Source organism: Homo sapiens, chromosome 8, assembly GCF_000001405.40.
Source record: "Homo sapiens chromosome 8, GRCh38.p14 Primary Assembly".
NCBI lineage: Eukaryota > Metazoa > Chordata > Mammalia > Primates > Hominidae > Homo > Homo sapiens.
The window spans coordinates 124,417,160-124,442,870 of NC_000008.11; the positions used below are offsets into that span (position 1 = coordinate 124,417,160).

At 44.6% G+C, this 25,711-nt stretch overlaps 3 annotated features.

The window, feature by feature from the left end:
- Positions 11,561-12,062: an enhancer, noted in NCBI's record as "H3K27ac hESC enhancer chr8:125440961-125441462 (GRCh37/hg19 assembly coordinates)". NCBI's record gives its function as "activates a minimal SCP1, AML or CMV promoter by ChIP-STARR-seq in naive H9 embryonic stem cells {active_cell/tissue: H9 hESC(naive)}" and the evidence as "EXISTENCE:reporter gene assay evidence [ECO:0000049][PMID:30033119]".
- Positions 14,061-14,876: an enhancer, noted in NCBI's record as "NANOG-H3K27ac hESC enhancer chr8:125443461-125444276 (GRCh37/hg19 assembly coordinates)". NCBI's record gives its function as "activates a minimal SCP1, AML or CMV promoter by ChIP-STARR-seq in naive H9 embryonic stem cells {active_cell/tissue: H9 hESC(naive)}" and the evidence as "EXISTENCE:reporter gene assay evidence [ECO:0000049][PMID:30033119]".
- Positions 23,171-23,670: an enhancer, noted in NCBI's record as "H3K4me1 hESC enhancer chr8:125452571-125453070 (GRCh37/hg19 assembly coordinates)". NCBI's record gives its function as "activates a minimal SCP1, AML or CMV promoter by ChIP-STARR-seq in naive H9 embryonic stem cells {active_cell/tissue: H9 hESC(naive)}" and the evidence as "EXISTENCE:reporter gene assay evidence [ECO:0000049][PMID:30033119]".

Consider the following 25,711-nt stretch of genomic DNA (forward strand, 5'->3'; position numbering starts at 1 on the left):
ATCTCACAGTATTTATCTCAATGTACAATTAAGGGCTCAATAAGCATGTATATTATGTTCATGGCAGGCACTATGAGGAGAAAAATAAAATTTAAAAATGATATATTACGGTTATAATAAGCAATAATAAATAATTATATTTATTATTATAATTAATAAATATAATGTGTTATATTGTATATTATAATTATATTATTTATAATAAACAATAATACATTAAAATCAAATTAATCGTTTTGCATCATTTATTAATGGTTAATTAATGATTGATGCACAAAAAAAGGGGCAATTTTTTTTGAAGCAAAGATGCAGTCAAATGAATGTGTAGATAAATGCTGCAAGCAGTGGATTAAAATTCAGGGAGTTGGCTGTGCACGATGGCTCACATCTGTAATCCCAGCATTTTGGGAGGCCAAGGTGGGAGGATCACCTGAGGTCAGGGGTTTGAGACCACCCTGACCAACATGGTGAAACCCCGTCTCTACTAAAAATACAAAAATTAGTCAAGTGGGGTGGCTCATGCCTGTAATCCCAGCTACTTGGGAGGCTGAGGTGGGAGAATCACCTGAACCTGGGAACCAGAGGTTGCAGTGAGCTGAGATCGTGTCACTGCACTCCAGCCTGGGCAACAGAGAGAGACCGTCTCAAAAAAAAAAAAAAAAAATTCAGGGAGTTCAAACTCCTGTGTGACGGGGAAGATGATTTGCACAAAGGCACATCCACATAAAAAGTGGCACATTCAGGAATACACTCAGCATTCCAGCATTCTTGATTCCCAGACTTAAGATTTTCCACTACTCTATGCTGCTGTGTTGGAGAGTAGTGAGAAGTAAGGCTGGACAGGTGGAGCCTGAGGGGGTTTGGGCCTTGAGAATCCAAGCTAAGGTACCTGAGTAGAGAAGCATCACAGAAGAGGCACTAGCCAATGGAGGAAAGCTATCATGGGTTTACACAGTGAGGAAAGAATTGATTTCTGGGCCAGGCATGGTGGCTCATGCCTGTAATCCTAGCACTTTGGGAGGCCAAGGCAGGCAGATCACCTGAGGCCAGGAGTTAGAGACCAGGTTGGCCAACATAGCGAAACACCTTCTCTACTAAAAAAAAAATACAAATATTGGCCAGGCATGGTGGTGCATGCCTGTAATCCCAGCTACTCAGGAGGCTGAGGCATTAGAGTTGCTTGAACCCACCACTGCACTCCAGCCTGGGTGACAGAGAGAGACTCCGTCTCAAAAAAAAAAAGAATTGATTCCATTCTATAGTCAGTAAACATCTAATGGTTTGACAAGTATTCAGCATCAGAATGAGAAATTTGGCATTAGGTAATTTATAATAAACACAAAAGATAAATAGGAAATATGACAATATGGCCTGGATTTGATAGCAGACACCTGTGCCTAATGGATGATGGGTGTCTGCCAACATTCATAAGCTTCAAAGATGCATCCCAGCCACAGACATAAAGCACTGATATGTAGGATGTCCTTGGGTACACAGGGCAGTTTCCTATGCTAGGGACATATCTTGCTTTAATTTCTCAGCAATGTTTTGTACTTTTCAGTGTAGAGGTCTTATACATCCTCCATGAGATATATCCCATGGTATTTTGTGTTTCTGATGCAGTTATAAGTTATTTTAAAATTTTCATTCCATTTGAGTTTCTTTATCTTTCCCTTTTTAAAATATAATTCTTTTAAGTATTTACATATGTTGGACATCATATTAGATAACATATAAATTTTTTTAACCATCAAATATGAAACTCTCAGTTTTAAGGACTTTCTTAAAACTTGAAAAGTGTTGCTGCGGTAAAGAAAGAGGGGAAAAATATTTGCATAGAGACACAGTTGAAAATATGAATCCCCTTATTATGACCATAATTTTTTGTTAAGACATGGAACCAGAAGATTTTGTATCAGAATATAGTTGATTTTGTACTAGCAATCAGTGATAAGACATATGATTCAGAATAGCTAGCTGTACTCTTGTCTGATAGTTTTTTATTCCAGATACAAAGCAAAATTTAATATACCAAATTTAATTTTGCCACTGGTAACCATTATAAAAGTGAAGACAGTTCTTCAAGAATATTTTGGTTTTCAAACAAAGCCATACTAAAAGATGCAAAAACATTCTTAAACATCCAAAATGTAATTAATAACATTATAATATAATTTAAATACTATAAAAAATAACAAAGTTAAAGCACCAGACTGCTCTACTTATTTTAAAAAGTTATTAAAAAGAAAAAGATGTGTGTGGCAGACATTAATTGCCTACTAAAAATCCATTCTTCCCTGCTTTCTTATTAATACAGTTTGTTTGTTTGTTGGTTGGTTGGTTGGTTTTGAGACAGAGTCTCGCTCTATCGCCCAGGCTGCAATGCAGTGGCATGATCTCGACTCACTGCAACCTCCGCCTCCCGGATTCAAGCGATTCTCCTGACTCAGCCTCCGGAGCAGCTGGGACTAAAGGTGTGCGCAACCACCCGGCTATTTTTTATATTTTTAGTAGAGACAGGGTTTCACTATGTTGGCCAGACTGGTCTCGAACTCCTGACCTCAAGTGATCCGCCGGCCTCGGCCTCCCAAAGTGCTGGGATTACAGCGGTGAGCCACCGCGCCAGCATATACAGTTCTGATTAGTGTGGGTGTCAATGTCCCCTGTTAAAGAGTACCTCCCCAGACTCCCTTGCTATTGGTGACCAGTAACCCACCTCTGGCCAATGAAAAACAAGTGTAATTCACTGGGTGGAACCCCTAAGGAAGTGTATTAAAGATGGCCGACTCAGCACCAGGCCTTTTGACTTTCTCCCTTACTCCTTTCCCTGTTTCCTTCCGATAATGTAGCTCAGTGCTTGGAGATGGAGCAGCCATTTTGACACCGTGAGAATAAAAACATGTAAGAAAGCCAGGAGGATCTCTGGTCTCAGATGGCAGCATTAAGCTGCCATTACTACCCTAGTTTACCTACTTGCGTGCCTGTTTATATAAGGGGGAAAAAAAAAAAACTAAAACCTTTTGGTTAATCAACTATGTCAGGGAAGGTCCTCGCCATCAGGATTTCTGATTCAGTGGGCTGGAGGTAGGACCCAGGAACTTACATCTTTCACATGAGCCCCAAATGATTCCCATGCCAGTAATCCAAGGATTATTTTACAGAAACTCTCCTTTGGTAGGTGTGAATTGGAAATTTAATGTTAACTGGGGAGTCAAGAGGATTATGAACTTGGGTGGGAGGGTAGCAAGTCAAATGATAAATTGCCAGTGGCATACAAAAGTTTACAAATGACCGCTTAGGCTTGATGTTATGATTTACTAACATTTTCCTTGAATTTTCTAAATTATGCTATGTCACAGAGAAATGAATGCTGATGGTAAAACTGTAAATTGTCTGCAGCAGCAGATTAAGTCCTTCAATCCTGGTTTAACTTTATTATGAAATCCCATTGAATAACTGAAACAAGAGTATTTTCTTCCTGAGGACAGTTGCTCTATAAAATATTGTCTTGGGTGAACTATACCAAGAAATATAAGATCTATTTGATTCACAGAAGTGCAGTTCAAGCAGTTCTGTTTCTAAAAGGCAATACTAAATATAATAAATGGATGCCACACCAGTTTAAATGTATAAATGGTTTTCATTGTCAACATCAATGCCAGATAATTCAATTTGTTTCTTCCTGAGATTATGATCTTATTTAGACATTAACCCGTTTTATTTATTTATTTATTATTTATTTATTGACTCAGGATCTTGCTCTGTATCCCAGGCTGGAGTGCAGAGGTGCCATCATGGCCCACTGCAGCCTCAAAGTCCTGGGCTCAAAGGATCCTCCCACCTCAGCCTCTGGAGTACCTGGGGACTACATGCATGCGCCACTACGCCCAGCTAATTTTTTTTTAAAGATGGGGTCTCGGCCGGATGGGATGGCTCATCACGCCTGTAATTCCAGCACTTTGGGAGGCCAAGGTGGGCAGATCACTTGAGGTGAGGAGATCGAGACCATCCTGGTCAACAGGGTGACATCCCGTCTCTGCTAAAAATACAAAAATTAGCTGGGCATGGTGGTACGTGCCTGTAATCCCATCTCCTCAGGAGGATGAGGCAGGAGAATTGCTTAAACCAGGGAGTCGGAGGTTGCAGTGAGCTGAGATTGCACCAGTGCACTCCAGCCTGGTGACAGAGCAAGACTCCGTCTCAAAAAAAAAAAAAAAAGATGGGGTCTCACTATGTTGCCCAGGCTAGCCTCAAACTCCTAGGCTCAAGGAATCTTCCCAAAGTGCTAGGATTATAGACATGAGCCACTGCACCTGGTCCCCAGTTTTATTTTTTAACCATGACAGCTGTAGCTTTGTCTAGCGACAGCTCCCTTCTGAAAACAAATCCAGCAACATACTGTTGTTACACAAAGATACACTTATGCTATTGTTCCTTTTCTTTATAAGATAGTAAGCTCCTTAATGATATTTTTTTAAGATGGGTATCTCACTATGCTGCCCAGGTTGATCACAAACTCCTGGGTTCAAGCAATCCTCCCCTCTCAGCCTCCCTAGTAGCTGAGATTACAGGCGTGCACCACCACACCCAGTTCAGCTAACGCATTTAGAAGTAAATTGTATTGAGATGTAGGGTTATAATTCTTACACTGAAAAGTTTTGTAAAGTGTGTATATAGCAGGTATAAAATTATTACAATGGAATTCTAACTTTTTTTGGAGGGGTGGGGTGGGTGGGTCTCACTCTGTTGCCCAGGCTGAAGTGCAGAGGTGTGATTTCGGCTCACTGCAACCTCCGCCTCCTGGGTTCAAGTGATTCTCCTGCCTCAGCCTCCCAAGTAGCTGGGACTACAGTTGCCTGCCACCACCATGCCCAGCTACTTTTTGTATTTTTAGTAGAGATGTGGTTTCACTATGTTGGCCAGGCTAGTCTCAAACTCCTGACCTGGCCTGGCTAGTCTCAAACTCCTGACCTGATCACCTCCTGGCCGAGGTGATCTGCCCGCCTCGGCCTCCCAAAGTGCTGAGATTACAGGCATGAGCCACCGCACCTGGCCAGAATTCTTTCTTATGCAAGAGTTAGGCACTTAAGTGTGCTCAGGTATAGACCGAAATTAACTTTATATGTCTCTTAAATTATCCATGCAGTGTAATACAAATAATAGTTGTCCCTGGTCTTCAAAGACATGAATCCTTAAATACAGAATCCATACTTTCACACTTTCAGAGCTAGAAAGAACTGAGAAGAACTGACCGACAGGTTCAGACTGCCCATATCTGCCAAAGGCAGGGCATTCAGAGGAAAAGAAGGAAGTCACGGCCCTGCAGCAGTTCAGTCTGTTGGGGATGACAGCTTGTAAACAAGTAATTATAGTGGCTGTATCACGGGCCCATAAAGGAGAAAGCTGTGCGTTTGAGCCAGGGAGAAGGGCAGGCAGCCCGGGAAGACATCTGAGAGGAGGTACTGGCATGAGAGCGATATTGTAAAGGATGGCAAAAATAAGTCTGTGTGTGTTGCTCAGACAGAGGAAGGGCGTGACGTGGGGCAGGGATCATTTCCCAAGGCCAAAGCACAGGGTGTTTTTGAAGAGGGGCTAGATATCATGTCAGAGAGATTAAGCCCACAGTGAAAAACACCTCAAACACAATGCCGAGAAATTTTAACTTTATTCTGTAAATAATGGGGAGCCATTGAAGGATATTCAGCAGGAAAATGAATTGACCAGATACGCATGTTAGAAAATTTCCTCTGATTTTATGTGTTGTTTACAGTCCTTTTTGTATATCAGTCAGTATGAGAACCTTCGTAAGGAAATTGACCCCTTAACATAACCACTCTAATTTCTTTATATTTCCTCTGAAATTAGCACACAAAATAAGAACAACTTCCCATGTACCTCTATGTAGTGTTCTGATTATGACCCTTGGAGACTTCTCTCTGAATTTTTTTTTTTTAATCAATGCAAGTCCGGGTGCGGTGGCCACGTGTAATCCCAGCACTTTGGGAGGCCAAGGCGAGTGGATCACTTGAGGTTAGGAGTTCAAGACCAGCCTGGCCAACATGGTGAAACCTCGTCTCTACTAAGAATACAAAAATTAGCTGGGCCTGGTGGTGGGCACCTGTAATCCCAGCTACTGGGGAGGCTGAGGCAGGAGAATCACCCCAGGAAGTGGAGGTTGCAGTGAGCAGAGATAGCGCCACTGCACTCCAGCCTGGGCGACAGAGTGAGACTTTGCCAAAAAAAAAAAAAAAAAATCCATGTAAAAAAGAATTTATTCTTTTAATCTTTTATAATTTTTATTTTTTTGGTAGAGAGGGAGGCTAGCTATGTTACCTAGGCTGGTCTTGAACTTCTTGCCTCAAGCAATCCTTCTGCTTCAGCCTCCCGAAGTGCTGGGATTATAGGGGTGAGCTACTGCACCTGACCCCAAAAAATAATTTAATAGAAACTGTGTATCCAGTTCTTTTCATTCATGTAGTTCCTAAGGCCAGTTTTTAAGTGGATCTGTATAGAGAAAATGTTACCATGAGAATCCAATGTGTATTTTAAATGTAAATAACCACTAATGGTGAAAATAATGAAAAATAAGCTCAAATCTCTAGTAATTGTGCAATACTTGCAATTATATGATACTGATTTGATTGTTCTATGCAAAGGAAATTTAGAATCAAACCCAGTTATAAAGGAAATAATTCGTAGGATTGGAGTCCTGAATAATTATCCCATCTGTCCACAGGCCAGACAGAGGGGCAGCCTGTTTATCTATATTTATCATATACATATGTGTGCATTTATGGAATATAAAAGCACAAATAGAGATAATCTCTAAACTGAACATACTTTGAGACACAATCAAAAATTCAAATAGTAGGCTGAGTACAGTCGCTCATGTCTGTAATACCAGCACTTTGGAGGCCGAGGCAGGTGGATCACCTGAGGTCAGGAGTTCGAGACCAGCCTGACCAATATGACAAAATCCCGTCTCTACCAAAAATACAAAAATTAGCCAGGAATGGTGGCACGCATCTGTAATCCCAGCAACTCAGGAGGCTGAGGCAGGAGAATCACTCGAACCCAGGAGGTGGAGGTTGCAGAGAGCCAAGATCGTGCCACTGCACTCCAGCCTGGGCAACAAGAGCAAAACTCTGTCTCAAAAAAAAAAAAAAAAGATACCATTCCTTCTGAATGCTTCAGAGGAGAATCCATTTCCTTCCCCTTCATAGCTTCTAGAAACTTCCTGCATTCTTTGGTTCTTTCTTTGCCTCATTCCAGCCTCTTGCTTCTGTAGTCACACCTCCTAGTACTCACTTTGTTCCTCCTGCCTTTCTCTCATAATAACCCTGTGATTACACTGGGCCCACACAAGTAATCAAGGCTAATCTCCCCATCTCAAAATCTTCAATTTAATAACAACTGCAAAGCCCCTTTCACTGTGTAAGGCAACACATTCACAGTTCCGGGAGTTAGAACATGGACATCTTCGGAGAACCATTATTCAGCCTACCATAAGGTCTAATGTTCCTGAAAATCTCCTGTGCTGCATGAACCTTATTTTGAAGGTTCATGAACATCTGAACATCCCCAAGAGGCCAAGCCCACAGTGCTTCACTAGAAAGTCCTCCTGGACCATCTCATTTCAGGCTAGCAAATCCTGACAGACTCTAAACAAATATTGTTATTCATATACTTTGTTAGCATTCAGGAAAAAAGCAGCGGACACTAGAAAGGAGGATCGATTTATTCTTATTCCCTTTGTTTTCTTTTCTTGTTTTGTTTTGTTTTGTTTTGAGACAGAGTCTCACTCTGTTGCCCAAGCTGGAGTGCAGTGGCATGATCTTGGCTGACTGCAACCTCCGCCTCCTGGGTTCAAGCAATTCTCCTGCCTTAGCCTCCCGAGTAGCTGGGACTACAGGTGCATGCCAGGCACAGCTAATTTTTTTTTTTTTTTCAGTAGAGACAGGGTTCCTCGGTGTTAGCCAGGATGGTCTCTATCTCCTGACCTCATGATCCGCCCGCCTCAGCCTCCCAAAGTGCTGGGATTACAGGTGTGCGCCACCATGCCCAGCTTCCCTTTAAATTCTTTCCTGACATACAAGTCTGTGGCCTGCGTCTCTGAGCACAGGGTGGCTTTCCTGGAATCCTGGAGGAATGGAATTGGGGGATCCAGTCTTGTCCTCTGTTGATCAATATCTTCTATGGTTCCCTATCACCTTCTGGACTAAGCCCAAGGCCTGCATTGTCCTTCCAAAGCCTTTTGAGATCTGACCCCTATCTATCATCAATTCTCCCTGAGCACCCCCTAGTGGTACTTTAGGCACTAGCACTGTCAAAGTCCTGTTGATGTCCAATCACCCATATTCTCTCGCGCCCCCACTCCCCCACCCACCATGCTTATGGACACATTGTTCCCGCTGCCTAAATGACCATCTGGCAAATGAACCTTGTCTGTGAGCAAACGTTTCCTTTCATTTATCCTACCTCACTGCCTTAGTAAAACATGCCCTCAGATTATAGGTTCTCCTCTCTATCTGCTCTACAGCACTGGTGATTCTGTAATTATTCTAGTGAGGACCAGCTACATAATTCGTGGGGTCCAGTGCAAAATGAAAATGAGGGGTCCCCTTGCTCCAGAATGACGGCATCTGTTTGCCATGTACCTGGATGCAACCTGCCCCTGGGGAGCTGCCCTTGCCCCATCCTTTTGAGCCATGGCACGGTCCTGCATCTCCAATACCAAATCTGACTCCAAAACTGTGTGGTGTGACATACAAGTGACTGAACGCTTCCTGGGGAGCTGGGGTTGGGGGCACTTCAACCACCACACAGCACAGCTTCATCAAAATGCAGCTTGCGACTTCTCCCCCAGGTGCCTTCCCGCTGCTGCGGGCCTCTGCTCCTTCACTTCCAACATCTCTCAAAATAAAAATCCCTCCTCCCGCTCTGAGCGATTCAGCTCTGCCTGCAGCTTGTACATGTCTCTCCCCTGGCAAAACAAGAGCTGGGTAGTTTAGCCAAATGGCGCCCCCTCGAGGCCACTGCAGGTCCTTCATTCACCCCGTCACATACAGAGGGGTTCTGAGTAAAAACAAAACGTTCTGCCGCTCAGGCCAGTGTGGCAAACACTCAGCCAAGCCTCAGGATCCTTCCGGGGAGAGTGTAGGTAGACAGTGTCCTGCTCGGGGGGCAGGGGTGTCCCAAGGGCTGGCCCGCCTGCTGTCTGCTCCTCCTGGCCCCTGGTCAGGCGGCAGCCAGAGTCCCTCTGGACCTGCATCCTCGCCCCAGCAGAAGTCTTTTGTCCAGGGGCCAAAAAGCCAGAGATTCCGCAACAAGAATTCAAAGCAAACACAACAAAACAAAATTCATGGAAAGTAGATGACTGCTAAGATATGGCAGGGGGGCCTGGAGGGAGCCTCCGGCTCTGACCTGCTCTGGGACGGGCCGCCTTCTCCTCCGCATGTTGCTCAGTTTCTGCCCCTGACGCTGGAGCTCACAGAGACGACTTCCTTGTCCTGGTTCTCAACAGAGCTGTAGCTGACTCTGGCATTACCAAGCCTCCCCACATGCCCAGCCCCCTCACTCCAAAATCCTACTGGCTGTAACAGAGAATACCTTTGAACCAAGATTCTGTTTTAATCATAATTTACATTGTTTTCTTTCCAAAGGCCCCCTTGTATACCCTCCCTAACCCACAAAACTGTTAACATTGTCTTAAGGTGAAATGGCTGTAAAATCAGTATTTAACTAATAAATTTATCTGTATTCCTCTTTCAAAAAAAAAGAGGAGTCCCCTGTTCCAAAACTATTAAGCATTTCAAGACAGCAACAGCAGAGCATTAAACCGAGCATGGGATCCTCCTGAGCCCCGTGCCATGTACGACTGCCCAGCTTGCACACCCATGATGCCAGCCTTGACCCTAGCGTGTGTGTACTAAGGACAGTGAAGACAGAAACTGCATCTGTGATCCATGCGTTCTCCAGGCCTTGGTCAGTGCCCCCCGACCCCTGCACACACACACATAGACACAAAAATGACAGCTGAGTGGATGTACAAATGAATGAATGAGCAATGTTGAAGATAGTTTTTATTCTACAGAAGACTGTATGCATGTAGTAGTTTCCTAAGGCTGCCATAACAAATGGCCACAACTCAGTGGCTTGAAACAACAGAAATTTATTTTCTCATAGTTCTGGAGGCTAGAAGTCCAAAGTGAAGGTGCTGGCAGGGCCATGCTCCCTCTGAAGGCTCTAGGGAAGAATCCTTCCTTGCCTCTTCCTAGATTCTGGCAGCTCTGGCTATCCTTGGCGTTCCTTGGATTGCAACCACATCACTCCCATCTCTGACTCCACCTTCATATGGTATTCTTCCCTCTGCGTGTATCTTCAGGCATCTCCTCTTCTTATAAGGGCACCATTCATTAGATTTAATGCCCACCTGAATCCAGTATAACCTCATCTTAACTATTTACATCTGCAAAGATCCCCATTTCCAAATAAGATCACATTCTGAGATTCCAGATGAACTTGAATTTGAGGGTGGGCACTCACTATTCAACCCACTACATTTGTTAATAGGACATTCTTCAGAATGCCTCAAGGGTATTTGTTGCTGATATATGTTTAACAATGACGTGACTTGTAACTTAATTTTATTTGCCAAGGGAACCTCGAAGGATCCATAAAACCATACAGGCTGTAAAGAGGCATGTATAATAAATGAAGTATAACCTGGGGAACTAAACATTTTTAGATGTGGTCATGCAACCAGTTATTGTTGAAATATCTTGGAAATGTGAAGGGCAACAACAACAACAAAAATAAACAGGAAGATGCCCAATTTTCCATAGAAAACTTAAGTGAAATCCAGAACTGCAAAGTTTTCCGCCTGCATTTACACAATGGCTTCCTGGGTTAGGGCTTCCTGTAGCAGAGCCCTAACACCATTGATTCCCCCTCCTTCTAGGTGGAGACTAGGGGAAAGTCTAGCATGGCTAGAATGCCCCTGAGGCTCAGCAGTTTGCATAAATTGTTTATTAAGGGTTAGGAACAGTCTATCACTTTACATATGTTAAGTAGATAGGGATCTCAGCCAGGCCCCTTGGGGGTTTTAATTAAAATAAAGTGTTAACATTTATTTTTCTTTGTGGAATGTTTATTGTTTCATTAATTGTTTAAGCTATCACAGAAGCATGGAGGGTTTAAGGTTTTGTTAATGTGTTCCCCTGTAAGAGAAAGAGGAGACTGTTGGTTGGGTAATAAGAGGAATCATGTTTAATATTCATTTGATAGTAAAACAGTTTAATATTCATTTGATAGTAAAAACAAGGGGTCTATGGACCATTTCCCGTTCCCCAGGTGCCCAGCCAGGTCACTTGGTCTCTTTTACTATTTATTTATTTATTTATTTATTTTGGAGACAGGGTCTCACTCTGTCACCCAAGCTGGAATGCAGTGGTAAAATCTCAGCTCACTGCAACCTCCACTTCCTGGATCCAAGCAAATCTTGTGCCTCAGCCTCCCAAATAGCTGGGACTACAGGCATGCCCCACAATGTCCAGCTAATTTTTGTATTTTTAGTAGAGACAGGTTTTCATCATGTTGGCCAGGCTGGTCTCAAACTCCTGACCTCAAATGACACACCTGCCCCGGCCTCCCAAAGTCCTGAAATTACAGGTGTGAGCCACCGCACCCGGCCAGTCACTTAGTCTCTTAAGTCACTTAGTCTGCCTTTAACATGAGAAGCAGAGACATAAAGGCTTTACATTAGAACTTCTGACTCACAGCCAGGCTCAGTAGTTACTGCCAGTAATTTGAGAACTTTGGGAGGCTGAAGCTAGAAGGTTCCTTGAGGCCAGGAGTTCAAGAGCAGCCTCGGCAACATAGCAAGATCTCATCTCTACAAAAACTTTTAAAAAGCAATCTTAGCTACTTGGGAGACAGAGGCAAGAGGATCACTTGAGGAAAGGAAAGAAAAACTTCTGAGTCAAGAAAGAGAGAGAGAAGAAAGAGAGAGAGAAAGAAAGAAAAGAAAAGAAGGAAGGAGGGAGGGAGGGAAGGAAGGAAGGAAAGAGAAAGAAAGAAAGAGAAGGAAGGAAAGAAAGAAAGAAAAAGAAAGAAGGAGGGAAGAAGGAGGAGGAGGAGAAGGAAGGAAGAGAAAGAAAGAAAAGAAAGAAAGAGAAAGAAAGAGAGAAAGAAAAAAAGAAGGAAGACTGACTTTTGAGTCACCGAATGCTAATAGAGTTCTTCTGTGGGCATCCATGCTGTCATATTCCACCTTGCCACCCTTTCCCCTATTTCCTCCAAGTGCAGCAGAAGATGCCGCAGCCTCTCAACCAACCAACCATGCTAGTGTGTGGTGGATTTATTTGTAGGGAGCTGATGGTTCTGGTCTTTTCTCTCAAGACTCATTTCCCTGAAATGGGCTATAGACTGGAACTGCTTTGCTGCCCCAGTGTTGCCAACGCCCCTTGTCTGGAATGTATTCCTCCGGTGTAGCCTCAAGGGCATTGTTAGGAAGTATGATAAGATAAATCTCTGTTGCTGTCAGGTTGTGTCCTTAGATGCATTCTGAATACCCTCTCTCATGGGCTGAGTCTCTCAACCCCACCATACACAAAATGGAGCAAAGATTTTTATCCAGGACTGGATCCAGGACAGTGGGAGATTAGCAGGACCAAACAACATTTATTTCATCATTCATTTCATTGTGTCTTCCTTTTTTCATGTATTCACTAGATCAGCAAGTATTTATTGAATGTTTGCTATGTACTGGTCACTGGGCTAAGCTCTGGAAGAGACAATGATGAATAAGGCTAAATAAGACAGTGATGAATAAGGCCATTCCATTTTCTTCCTTGACTTGCTGGAAGAAAATGGAAATATATAATATATAAGTAATGAGCAAATAAAGAAGAGAGCAGGTTATAAGAATGCACTAAGGAAATAAGGAGGATGCTGAGAAAAAGCAGCTTGGAAAAGGGCACTTTAGGTGGTCAGGTAAGGCTGCTCTGAAGGAGGAGGTGACATTTGACTGAGATTCATGAATTAAAAGGGATCCCTGTGAAGATCTGAAGGAGAGCATCCCCAAGAGCGGAAGCAGGGATAAATGCTGTCGGACAGCAGAGGACCTGGATCATGTTAAGAACAAACTGCAGACCAATGTGGCTACAGGAGAGTGAGCAAAGGTGAGATTGATGTGAGATGAGTTTATAAGGCTGGGCAGGGGCCAGATTGTGCTGGACTTAGGTGGGGGCATGTGGACAATGGCCTAAGTACAGTGGGAAGACAGTGGAGGGCTTTAAGTGTATGGAAAATGAATTCCAGGTACAAATGAGGATTGCAGTTTCTGGTTAGAGGGTTTTAAGTGCATGGAAAATGAATTCCGGATACAAATGAGGATTGCAGTTTCTGGTTAGAAATCTGGGCAGGAGATAATGGTGACTGTACTAGGATGAAGGAATAGGTGTGGAGAGTTGTGGACACATTCAAGATATGTTTTAGATTAGCGTTAACAGACCTTGTTGGCAGAATGGTTGTAGAGAATTAGGAAAGGAAAGATGCAAGGATGACTCTTACAACTTTTTGAGAAGCTGGACAACCAAGGGGTCAAAGAAGAAATAGAAGAGAAATTATAAAGTATTTTGAGACAAAAATGAAAACAGAACATACCAAAACTGACAGGATGCAGCAAAAGCACTACTAAAAGAGAAATTCAGAGTGATAAACACCTACATTAAGAAAGAAGAAAGATCTCAAATAAGCAACCTAACTTTACATTTCAAGGAACTAGAAAAAGAAAAACAAATCTAAGCCCAAAGTTAGGAGAAGGAAAGAAATAATAAAAATTAGAGCAGAAATAAACGGAATAGAAAATGAAAAGCAATAGAAAAAAATCAACAAAACTAAGAGTTGGTTTTTTGAAAAGATAAACAAAATCGACAAACCCTTACCAAGACTAACTAAAAAAGAGAACACTCAAATAAACAAAATCACAAATGAAAGTAGAAACTTTACAACTGGTCCTACAGAAATAAAAAGCATAATAAGAGACTACTACGAACAGTTGTGTGTCTATGAACCAGATAACCTGGAAGAAATGGGTAAGTTCCCAGAAACATACAACCAAGACTAAATCACAAAGAAATAAAAGATTTTTTTTTCTTTCTTTTTTTTTTAATTGATCATTCCTGGGTGTTTCTCGCAGAGGGGGATTTGGCAGGGTCATAGGACAATAGTGGAGGGAAGGTCAGCAGATAAACAAGTGAACAAAGGTCTCTGGTTTTCCTAGGCAGAGGACCCTGCGGCCTTCCGCAGTGTTTGTGGCCCTGGGTACTTGAGATTAGGGAGTGGTGATGACTCTTAACGACCATGCTGCCTTCAAGCATCTGTTTAACAAAGCACATCTTGCACCGCCCTTAATCCATTTAACCCTGAATGGACACAGCACATGTTTCAGAGAGCACAGGGTTGGGGGTAAGGTCACAGATCAACAGGATCCCAAGGCAGAAGAATTTTTCTTAGTACAGAACAAAATGAAAAGTCTCCCATGTCTACTTCTTTCTACACAGACACAGCAACCATCCGATTTCTCAATCTTTTCCCCACCTTTCCCCTCTTTCTATTCCACAAAACCGCCATTGTCATCATGGCCCGTTCTCAATGAGCTGTTGGGTACACCTCCCAGACGGGCTCCTCACTTCCCAGTAGGGGCGGCCGGGCAGAGGCGCCCCTCACCTCCCAGACGAGGCGACTGGCCGGGCGGGGGGCTGACCCCCCCACCTCCCTCCCGGACGGGGCGGCTGGCCTGGCGGGGGCTGACCCCCACCTCCCTCCCGGACGGGGTGCCTGCTGGGCGGAGATGCTCCTCACTTCCCAGACGGGGTGGCTGCCGGGCGGAGGGGCTCCTCACTTCTCAGACGGGGCGGCTGCTGGGCAGAGGGGCTCCTCACTTCTCAGACGGGGCGGTTGCCAGGCGGAGGGTCTCCTCACTTCTCAGATGGGGCGGCTGGGCAGAGACGCTCCTCACCTCCCAGACGGGGCCACGGCCGGGCAGAGGCGCTCCTCACATCCCAGACGGGGCGGCAGGGCAGAGGCGCTCCCCACATCTCAGACGATGGGCGGCCGGGCAGAGACGCTCCTCACTTCCTAGATGGGATGGCGGCCGGGAAGAGGCGCTCCTCACTTCCTAGATGGGATGGCGGCCGGGCAGAGACGCTCCTCACTTTCCAGACTGGGCAGCCAGGCAGAGGGGCTCCTCACGTCCCAGATGGGGTGGCGGCCGGGCAGAGGCTGCACTCTCGGCACTTTGGGAGGCCAAGGCAGGCGGCTGGGAGGTGGAGGTTGTAGCGAGCCGAGATCACGCCACTGCACTCCAGCCTGGGCACCATTGAGCACTGAGTGAACCAGACTCCGTCTGCAATCCCGGCACCTCCGGAGGCCGAGGCTGGCGGATCACTCGCGGTTAGGAGCTGGAGACCAGCCCGGCCAACACAGCGAAACCCCGTCTCCACCAAAAAAATACGCAAACCAGTCAGGCGTGGCGGCGCGCGCCTGCAATCGCAGGCACTCGGCAGGCTGAGGCAGGAGAATCAGGCAGGGAGGTTGCAGTGAGCCGAGATGGCAGCAGTACCGTCCAGCTTCGGCTCGGCATCAGAGGGAGACCGTGGAAAGAGAGGGAGAGGGAGACCGTGGGGAAAGGGAGAGGGAGACGGGGAGAGGGGGAGAGGGGGAGAGGGAGAGAGGGAGAGAGGGAGAGAGGGAGAAATAAAAGATTTGATCACTACCATGAAGATTGAGTTACTAACCCGAAACCTCCCAAGAAAGAAAGGCCCAGGACTAGAGGGCTTCACTGGTGAATTCTACCAAACATTTAAAGAAGAAATAACACCAATCCTTCTCAAACCTTGAAAAAATTGAAGAAGAAAGAACATTTCCAAACTCATTTTATGATGCCAGCATTATACCGATATCAAAGCCAGACAGAGATATCCCAAGAAAAGAAAACCATTGGCCAGGCGCGGTGGCTCACGCCTGTAATCCAGCACTTTGGGAGGCGGAGGTGGGTGGATCACCTAAGGTCAGGAGTTCAAGAGCAGCCTGGCCAACATAGCGAAACCCTGTCTCTACTAAAAATATAAAAATTAGCTGGGCGTGGTGGTGGGTGCCTGTAATCCCAGCTACTCGGGAGGCTGAGGCTGGAGAATCACTTGAACCCAGGAGGCGGAGGTTGTAGTGAGCTGAGATCACAGCATTGCACTCCAGCCTGGGTGACAAGAGCAAAACTCCGTCTCAAAAAAAAAAAAAGAAGGAAAGAAAGAAGGAGAGAAAGAAAAGAAAGAAGGAAGGAAGGAAGGAAGGGAAAGAAAGAAGAAAGAAAGAAAGAAAGAGAAAGAAAGGAAAGAAAGAAAGAGAAAGGAAAGAAAGAAAGAAAGAAAAGAAAGAAAGAAAGAGAAAGAAAGAAAGACAGACAGACTATTCACCAACAACCCTGATGAACACAGATGCAGAAAATCTTACCCATTTTGTCTTGGGATGATGATGACAGTGATGGTGTTGATGATAAGCAGAATATTTTTTGTAACCTCTGAGGAACAGAGAAGCGGCCAGAAATTTTTGATCATTCACTAATGTGCCAGGCACTATACAGAAGACTTCATACATTATCATTTTTAACTCTCCTATAACCCTATAATGTAGGCTCTATTATTAACACCAATGTAAAAATGAAGCTGAAGCACAAAATGTTTAAGTGACTTGCCCCAGGTAACACAGTAGAAAGCAACAAGGACAGAGAGCTGGGCTCAGTGGCTCACACCTGTAGTCCCAGCTACTCAGGGGGCTGAAACAAGAGGATCACTTGAGCGCAGGAGTTTGAGGCCAGTCTGGACAACATAGCAAGACTCTGTCTCTTAAAAGATAAAAAAGACACAGAGAGAAATGAAGGCAGAAATGGAATCCTACCCACAAGAACCTCCCTAAAAATCCAAGTTCATGACTACCTTGTTTCCTCTGCATCCCCATTACCTAACACAGTGCCTGTTATAGAGTAGGAACTCAATTAGTGTTGATTGTAAGGCTATGGGTAGGTGTGCCTGATGTCAAGTCCATACACCACGATGTCCATACACAGATGTGGCAAGAAAATAATATAAAACCACTCGTGAAGTCATGACTCCCTGGCTCACCTATTTTTCCCCCCTCTATCTGCCTTTCTGCTTTAGGTCAGGCCCAGTGTAGCATCTTCACGATTTCAGTTAGAGAAGAGAGAGCTGCTGGCACCTATATGAAAGAGGACCCATGGGCAGGAGAAGAGATGATTATGAGCAAATCCAGGGAGAGCTATTTCCTGAGACAGAGCTGAAAATAAACCAGACTTCTCTATGAGGAGATGATAATAGCAAGTAACATCTTCCAAGAGCTAATATGCTCTATTCAATTAATCACAAAAATTTATGAGTTGGGGACTAGTAACATAATCACCATTTTATAGGTGTAGAAACTGCAGGAAGGTAGGCTGGGGCAAAGTGGCTCACATCTGTAATCCCAGCACTTTGGGAGGCCGAGGTGGGTGGATCATGAGGCCAGGAGTTCGAGACCAGCCTGGCCAACATGGTGAAACCCCATCTCTACTAAATATGAAAATTAGTCGGGCGTGGTGGTGGGTGCCTGTAATCCCAGCTACTCAGGAGGGTGAGGCCCGAGAATTGCTTGAACCTGGGAGGTGGAGGTTGCACTGAGTCAAGATGGCACCACTCTAGCCTGGGCGACAAAGTGAGACTCTGTCTCAAAAAAAAAAAAAAAAAAAGAGAAAGAAAGAAAAGAAAAAAAAAGAAATTGCAAGAAGGAGAGGTTGAACGACCTCTCTAAGGCACCCCGGTAGGTGGCACAACTGGGGCTCAAATCCAGGCAGTCCCTCTGCTCATGACCATTACACCAGAATCTGGGAGGCATGTACTGTGGGTGAGATGACTCTTCATTAATCGGCACTGGGGAGAAGCCACACTAAAATATGCTCATGAAAATGCAACTCTGCAAGAGAAAAATGTCTGCCTGTTGCTTTTTTAATGGTTGAAATAAAATTATATTCCTGTCACCACCAAGAGAAAGGCTTAGAGACTGGAGAATGGCTTAGATTATGCAATTGCTTCTTTGTCCTTGCCAAGGTAAGGACATTTTATCTAATGGACATGAACACTGTCATCACTAAAAAAGTACATTCTGTCTCAGGATTTGGTGAATTTGTTTTCCCAAATTAATCTTCTGCAACTGTGTGATACTGTCTTTCTCTCTAGTCAGACTAGTCTGTTCACTTCCCCCAAAACACCCATTTCTGGGCCTTTTCTCAAACCAGTTATCTTCCTAGGATGTTCTTTTTCTCTCTCTCCTTATCAAAATCTTACCTTGTTTCAAGTCATTCAGTAACACAAGGTACATTTTAGATTGTCTGAGATGTAGCTTGTTAAATACAAGTTCTTGGGTCCTACCTCCAGAGATTCGTGTTCAGACTTGCTTAAATCTTGGGTGATTCCAGGTATTAGATTTTTAAGCATGCTCCCCAGATTCTGAAGGGGTGTGCGTGCATGTGTGTGTGTGTGTGTGTGTGTGTGTGTGTGTGTGTGTGTGTGTAGGTAGGTAGTGAGGTCATTCTGAGGGAAACTGCTTTGGTAATGGGAATTTAAAAGATGGTTGGAGGCCAGAAGACCTCTGCACTAGAAAGAGCATTTGAAGCCATCCAGTTCCGCATTATAAATTTTCTTGTGAGGAAACTGGGGCCCAGAGAACGTAGCTCTACCTTGTAAATTTACTAATGCAGAAACTGAGGCCCAGATAATTTAAGTGACGTGCCCAGGATCACACAGTTATGAATTGGCTGAGCTGGTACAGCCACAATCCCAGCTCTGTCTTTCTCTGACACAAGATTTTCCCTAGATTCCATAGCAATAAGCCCCAAACCCTGCCCTGACCACACGATACACCACCATCACCACGGGAGGATTGCCTAGGCTGGGTTAAGACCCACACACGAGTTGTGTGGTCTTGTGCAAGTTACCCAGTCTCTCTTGGGCTCAGTTTCATTGTTAATAGAGCAGGTATAAAACTCAGCTCACAGGGCTGTTGATATGGTTTGGCTCTGTCCCCACCCAAATCTCATCTTGAATTGTGTCTCCCATAATTCCCACATGTTGTTGGAGGGACCAAGTGAGAGATAATTGAATCATGGGGGCAGTTTCCCCATACTCTTTTTTGTGGTAGTGAATAAGTCCCACAAGATCTGATGGTTTTATAAGAGGAATCCCCTTTCGCTTGGCTCTCATTCTTTCTTGCCTCCTGCCATGTAAGACGTGTCTTTTGCCTTCATCATGACTGTGAGGCCTCTCCAGCCACGTGGAACTGTGAGTCCATTAAACCTCTTTTTCTTAATAAATTACCCAGTCTCGGGTAATCAAGAGAACGCATGAGTGGCCTGTGTTGCACACATTCCATTTATCAGCAGCATGAAAACGGACTAATATAGCTGTAATGCAGATTAAGTGAAATAGAATGCAAGACTTTTCATGGGACAAGGCCTGAGAAAAATACTGAGAATAAATGTAGGCTTTGGGCTACATTTTGGAGTATTAATTTACATTGTTTTCTTTTTCCCAGTTATTCCTTTTCCCTTTGTTGTCATGCATGTTTGTGGCCTGCTCCCTGCTGGTCACCCCAGGATGGATGTAACAGGAGAGAGTAGAAATAGCCTGCCCATCTTCCTGAATTTTTTTCCCGAAAGCCTAATCCCCAGGATCAGGAAGGAATCCCAGGGACAAACTAAAAGTCTTTACAAGAAGCCTGGGGACAAAATGAAGAAAGGAAAATTCTGCTTGGGATGGGGGAAATGAGAGATGAGAAAGGTCTATAGGTCCTGGCTGAAGAGGGTAAAGAAAGAAAAATTCTGATGGGACGGGGATTTGAGATTTGGGATGGGGGAAATGAGGGATGAGAAAGGTCTATAGGTCCTGGCTGAAGAGGGAAGCAGGTCCTACATCCCAATATAGTCTCTGGGTTTATCTGGGCAGGCAGAAATACAGGAAGACTCCTTCAAAAGTCCCTTGACCCAAGTGCAGTGAGGAATGCTTAGAGGCCACATAGATGTAGACAGTGGTAATCACAGCTGATCACCCACCATCCTTCCACACTTTGGCATCATCATAATCTTAAAATCACAGCAAAATCTCAGGTATCAGGAGGGCTTGCATAACTATGGCCCAGCCCTCAGTGGAGAGAAGTCCAGCAATGAGGTCAGGCCAGGTGCAGTGGCTCATGCCTAGAATCCCAGCACTTTGGGAGGCTGAGGTGGGAGGAAATCATTTGAGCCCATGAATTAAAGACCAGTTTGAGCGTTATAATAAGATCTTGTCTCCACAAAAAATGTTGATTACATTTTTAACTGAAAATTTTAATTTTAAATTTAAATTAATTTAAAATTTAAACCACCAGTATGGTGGTGCAGGTACCTGTAGTCCCAGCTACTCAGGAGGCTGTGATGGGAGGATCACTTGAGCCAAATAGTTTGAGGCTGCAGTGAGCTATGATTACACCACTGCACTGCAGCCTGGGCAATAGAGTGAGACCCTGTCTCTTAAAAAAGGTGTGGGGGGCTGGGGGGATGAGGTCATTTTCTATCAACCAGGAGGAAGGCCACCTTGAGATAGAAATAAAGTTGAATTATAGAAAATAAGGCAGCCACTACTTGTTCCAAATGTAGGGGTTAAGTGTCCACTCACAATCAAGAGAACGCATGAGTGGCCTGTGCTGCACACATTCCTTATTGCACTGCTAGCTGGGACTCCCTGAGCTGTTAAGGTTGAGGGAACAGTGCAAGCTCAGGCCCTTCTTCCAGCACCCCCATGCCATTCTCAGAACAGCCAGGAGCAGATCCAGGTTCAATGCGGCATTGAACTTAAACATTTGTGGCCCTGTTTAAGAAAAAGAATCAAAATTACACATACAAAGTTAGGAACAAAAGTAACCTCTGCTGGCTTCTGAAGTCATGAATGGCTCCTGCTGCTGGCACCAGCCTTCGAGTGCCCACGGCCCGTCCCTGCGTGACAAACACACCTGCAGCCGGCCCTCAGTGCTACCTGCCCCTAGAATGAGAGATAATACCAAGGACCTTAACAGCCCTGGTAGTCACTGCAGTGCTTACTGCCAAGGGTGATGAACAAGTTGTCCATGTTCCAGAGCCCAGCTGCCTGAGCCAACAAGACATAGCACCTCCCAGACCCCGGAGCAGGCATGTAGCCCACATTTGGCCCTGCTGGAGGGAGAGCCACAGTGTACTACAGCTTAGTCACTGTAATCACAAAAATGTGGTAATGGAGCCACAATATAAAACAAGTAAACTCAGCCTTCAAGAACACATTGTGGGGCCGGGCATGGTGGCTCATTCCTGTAATCCCAGCAACTCAGGAGACTAAGGCAGGAGGATCACTTGAACCCAGGAGGTGGAGGTTGCAGTGAGCTGAAATTGTGCCACTGCACTTCAGCTTGGGTGACAGAGTGAGACTGTCTTAAAAAAAATGCTTTAAAACTTGGAATGTAAATACATAAGTGTCTACTATATTATTTTCAGTACATTTGACATATTTTGTAATTAAAATAAACTTAATAATATATTTAAAAATAAGTAAATAAATATTTCCAAAAGAAGACTAGTAATAGTCTACACCTCACAGAAACCTTAGAAAACTTAATTAATACAAAGCATTGGAATCAGGGCCAGGGACATGGTAAACACTTGCAGAATATTCATTGTTTTCCTCAGTGCCACTGTTTTACATAATTTTAAAGCTTTCTTTTCTTTTCTTTTTTTTTTTTTTTAACTGTCCTAGAAGTCAACCGAGATGGGACAGAAAGGAAAGAAAACCCTGGAAGGTCTTCTTGAAGAAGGCGATCCTAAATCTGAATCCAAATTTTCAGAAATGTGTCTCCTGGGTGAAGGTGAAGGTAGCAAGAGTCTGCCCAGCAACCCCCCAACCCCATTTTTTTTTTTTTTTTCTGAGACCAGTGGAGTCTGGCTCTCTGTCACCCAGGCTGGAGTGCAGTGGCGCAATCTCAGCTCACTGTAACCTTCGCCTTCTAGGTTCAGGCGATTATCGTGCCTCAGCCTTCTGAGTAGCTGGGACTACAGGCGTCCGCCATCATGCTCAGCTAATTTTTGTATTTTTAGTAGAGACGGGGTTTCACCATGTTGGCCAGGCTGGTCTTGAACTCCTGACCTCAAGTGATCTGCCTGCCTCAGCCTCCGAAAGTGCTGGGATTACAGGTGTGTGCCACAGCACCCAGCCCCACCCAGCTCACCCCAGCCTCTTTTAACCTCGCCTGTCTGACTCACATATTTTCCCAGCTGCTGGTCTTTGCTCTTCCTCTCCTCTCTGTCTTTCATGTAAAGCCCTCTCCAGAGGCTCTGTGGTTCCCAGGGGCCTTTCACGCACTGCCTAGAGAAAGGCCACTTACTGGCTAGTGTTCGCCACTCTCCCTCATGTGTCCTTGATTACAGGGACCAAGAGGTAAAATCAAATCATTTTCCAGCCTCCCCAGTAGTCAGGAGTAGCCATGGGAACCCATTTTGCCCTCGAGAGGCGGGCGGAAGTCCATGGGGCAGATGCTTCTTAGGTCTTTCTGCTCTGTCTTAATTGCTCAAGAAGCCCAGAAGTCCAGCAGCCGTCTCAAAACCACAAAAATAAAGGGTCCCACCGAGGCTGAGAAGGAGCCTGGCGGACTGAGGATTTCCCTTTGCAGCAACACCAGCCCTGGACCCCTTTAATGAAAAGTAACGGCAAAAAACCGTGATTACTTTTGCACCAGCTCAGTTAAAAGGGGTCCAGGGCTGCAAAGGGAAATTGTGTTGAACTTTCCATTACTTGTTGCCAAACACACTCACGCACCTGACTATCCTGTCAGTAAGGGATTGTTTTTTGGTGTTTGTTTGTTTTTTGTTTTTGTTCGTTTGTTTTGAGACGGAGCTTCGCTCTTGTTGCCCAGGCTGGAGTGCAATGGCGCGATCTCGGCTCACCTCAACCTCCGCCTCCGCTTCCCGATTCTTCTGCCTCAGCCTCCGGAGTAGCTGGGATTACAGGCATGCGCCACCACGCCCAGCTAATTTTGTATTTTTAGTAGAGATGGGGTTTATCCATGTTGGTCAGGCTGGTCTGGAACTCCCGACCTCAGGTGATCCGCCCGCCTCGGCCTCCCAAAGTGCTGGGATTACAGGCATAAGCCACCGCGCTAGGCCATAAGGGATATTTAATGGAGATGCACTGACAAAACCTGTGGGGCCCTTGAGGCGCCCTGGACATCCCTCCATCTGAAGGCCAAATACCGGACATTCCTCACCACCCTCAGCTGCCTCGGTGCAGGTGCCTGCTGCCATCTAGTGTCCATCTTTTAGAACTACACCACTGCTTTGGGACATGAACTATTTTTCCTTCCGCACTTTCTTTTTTCATTCATTCATTCATTCATTTGTTCATTTATGAAAGGAAAATAAAACCTCAGGATCTCGATTTAGCCTACCAAAAGGAAAAAAGAATAAGCCAAAAGCCGAGTCACGCAAGAAGCTGCCTTTTCTTTTGTTCCTAAGCAGATGCTACAGATAAAAGGCCAGATATCTCCAGCTGCTGGTTGTCCACCTTATCTTATCAAGTGCCGATTTACTGAGCATGAGACAAATACATAACTGACTATTCCCCTACCTGTTCCTTGTCTCTTGCAACATGTGGATTCTGTGATGTGACTGGACCTTCCCTCTTTCCAGCCTGCTTTTCCCCTTTAGATATTGAAGCCCACAAAATCATCTTTGGAGAAAGGCACAGATCGCAGACTGTTTCTGTGGTTTCTATATTCCCTTCTTCTGGCGTGTGCCTTACATTGGCTTCTAAACTTTACAAACTTCTAAATTGACTGAGACTTGTGTCAGACATATTTTGGTTGACAAATTGGCATCCAACAGAAGGGACTCTGAGTGGAGGTGGTCCTGACTGTTGAGAAATCTGACTTTGGTGCTTGGTACCAGCCCGGGCTACTTTTATTGCTCAAACTGTTACAGGAAAGGGGTCTGGAGCCAGACCACAGAGTGAGTTCTTGGATCTCTGACAGGAAAGAATTCTGGGCCAGTCACAGAGCACAGTGAAAAAAGCAAGTTTATTAAAGACTACTCTATTACAGAGTAGGGCATCCTCAGAACTAACAACAAGAGGAGGCCAGGCACCGTAGCTCACACCTATAATCCCAGCACTTTGGAAGATGAGGTGTGACAACTGCTTGAGACCAGGTGTTCAAGACCAGCCTGGACAACATAATGAGACTCCATCTCTACTAAAAATAAAAAAAATTTGCCCTGCATGGTAGCATACCTGCAGTCCCAACTGCTAGAGAGACTAGGCAGTAGGATCTCATGAGTCTGGGATGTCAACGCTGCAGTGAGCCATTATTGTGCCACTGCACTCCTGCCTGGGTGACAGATAAGGCTTGTCTTGAAAGAAAAAAAAAAGGAAAAGAAAAAAAAAAGCAAGAGTAGGACTCTGAACACAAATAAAATGCTATATAATAAGGGAGCTGGCCAGGCATGGTGGCTCACACCTGTAATCCCAACACTTTGGGAGGCCAGGGAGGCTGGATCACTTGAGGTCAGGAGTTCAAGGCCAGCCTGGCCAACACGGTGAAACCCTGTCTCCATCAAAAATATAAAATATTAGCCAGGTGTGGTGGCGTGCACCCATAATCCCAGCTACTAAGGAGGCTGAGGCAGAAGAATCATTTGAACCTGGGAGGCAGAGGTTGCAGTGAACAGAGATCATGCCACTGCACTACAGCCTGGGTAACAAAGCGAGACTCTGTCTCAAAAAAAAAAAAAAAAAAAAAAAACAAGAAGAAGAAAGCAAGCTAAGAATAATAATGAACTTATGTGCTTTATTATAAAGGCTTGTGACCAGCTTGTGACAGGCTGATGTTATCCTCTTGTGTAACTATTGAGTTCAGCAGGAATTTAGGGATATACTATTACCTATTAGTATAAGAAACCTATTATCTATTAATATAAGAAGCCTATTCTTAGACTAAGAATACTTTTTGGTCTTGAGATATCAGGACTTCAAGACTTTCTGTTAAGTTCTGGGTCTTGTTTACTTATCATTAACTCATTCTCTCAACCATAAAGGTCCTGTGAAGGAGAGTGCCTAGCTTCCTGGGAATGGAATCCAGCAGGTTTCACTTCATTTGGCCTTATTCAAGACGGAGTCACTCTGGTTTGGACACCTCTGATATATTTTCCTCCTCCCTTTTATAAGGGGATCCTTAATTCTAAGGGGTACAGAGGGACAGAGGTCCATCTTCATAAATGTCTTCAAGGTGAACAGGAGCAATGATATTCCTCCCTAACCACTGGGATCCCTTGTATTTAGATTGGAGAGGAGTTCACTCAGCAAGTGTTGGCGTGGTGAGGACCAATCATTATTGTGACTTTCAACAAAAGGTGAAATCTGGAAAATTAGTAAGTGTTCAATTTAAAGAAGCTATTTAATAGGTTTACCTTGTTTTCTTTTCTTTTCTTTTTTTTTTTTTTTTTTTTTTTTTGACGGCATTTTGCTCTTGTTGCACAGGCTGGAGTGCAATGGCATGATCTCGGCTCACTGCAACCTCCGCCTCCCAGGTTCAAGCGAGTCTCCTGCCTCAGCCT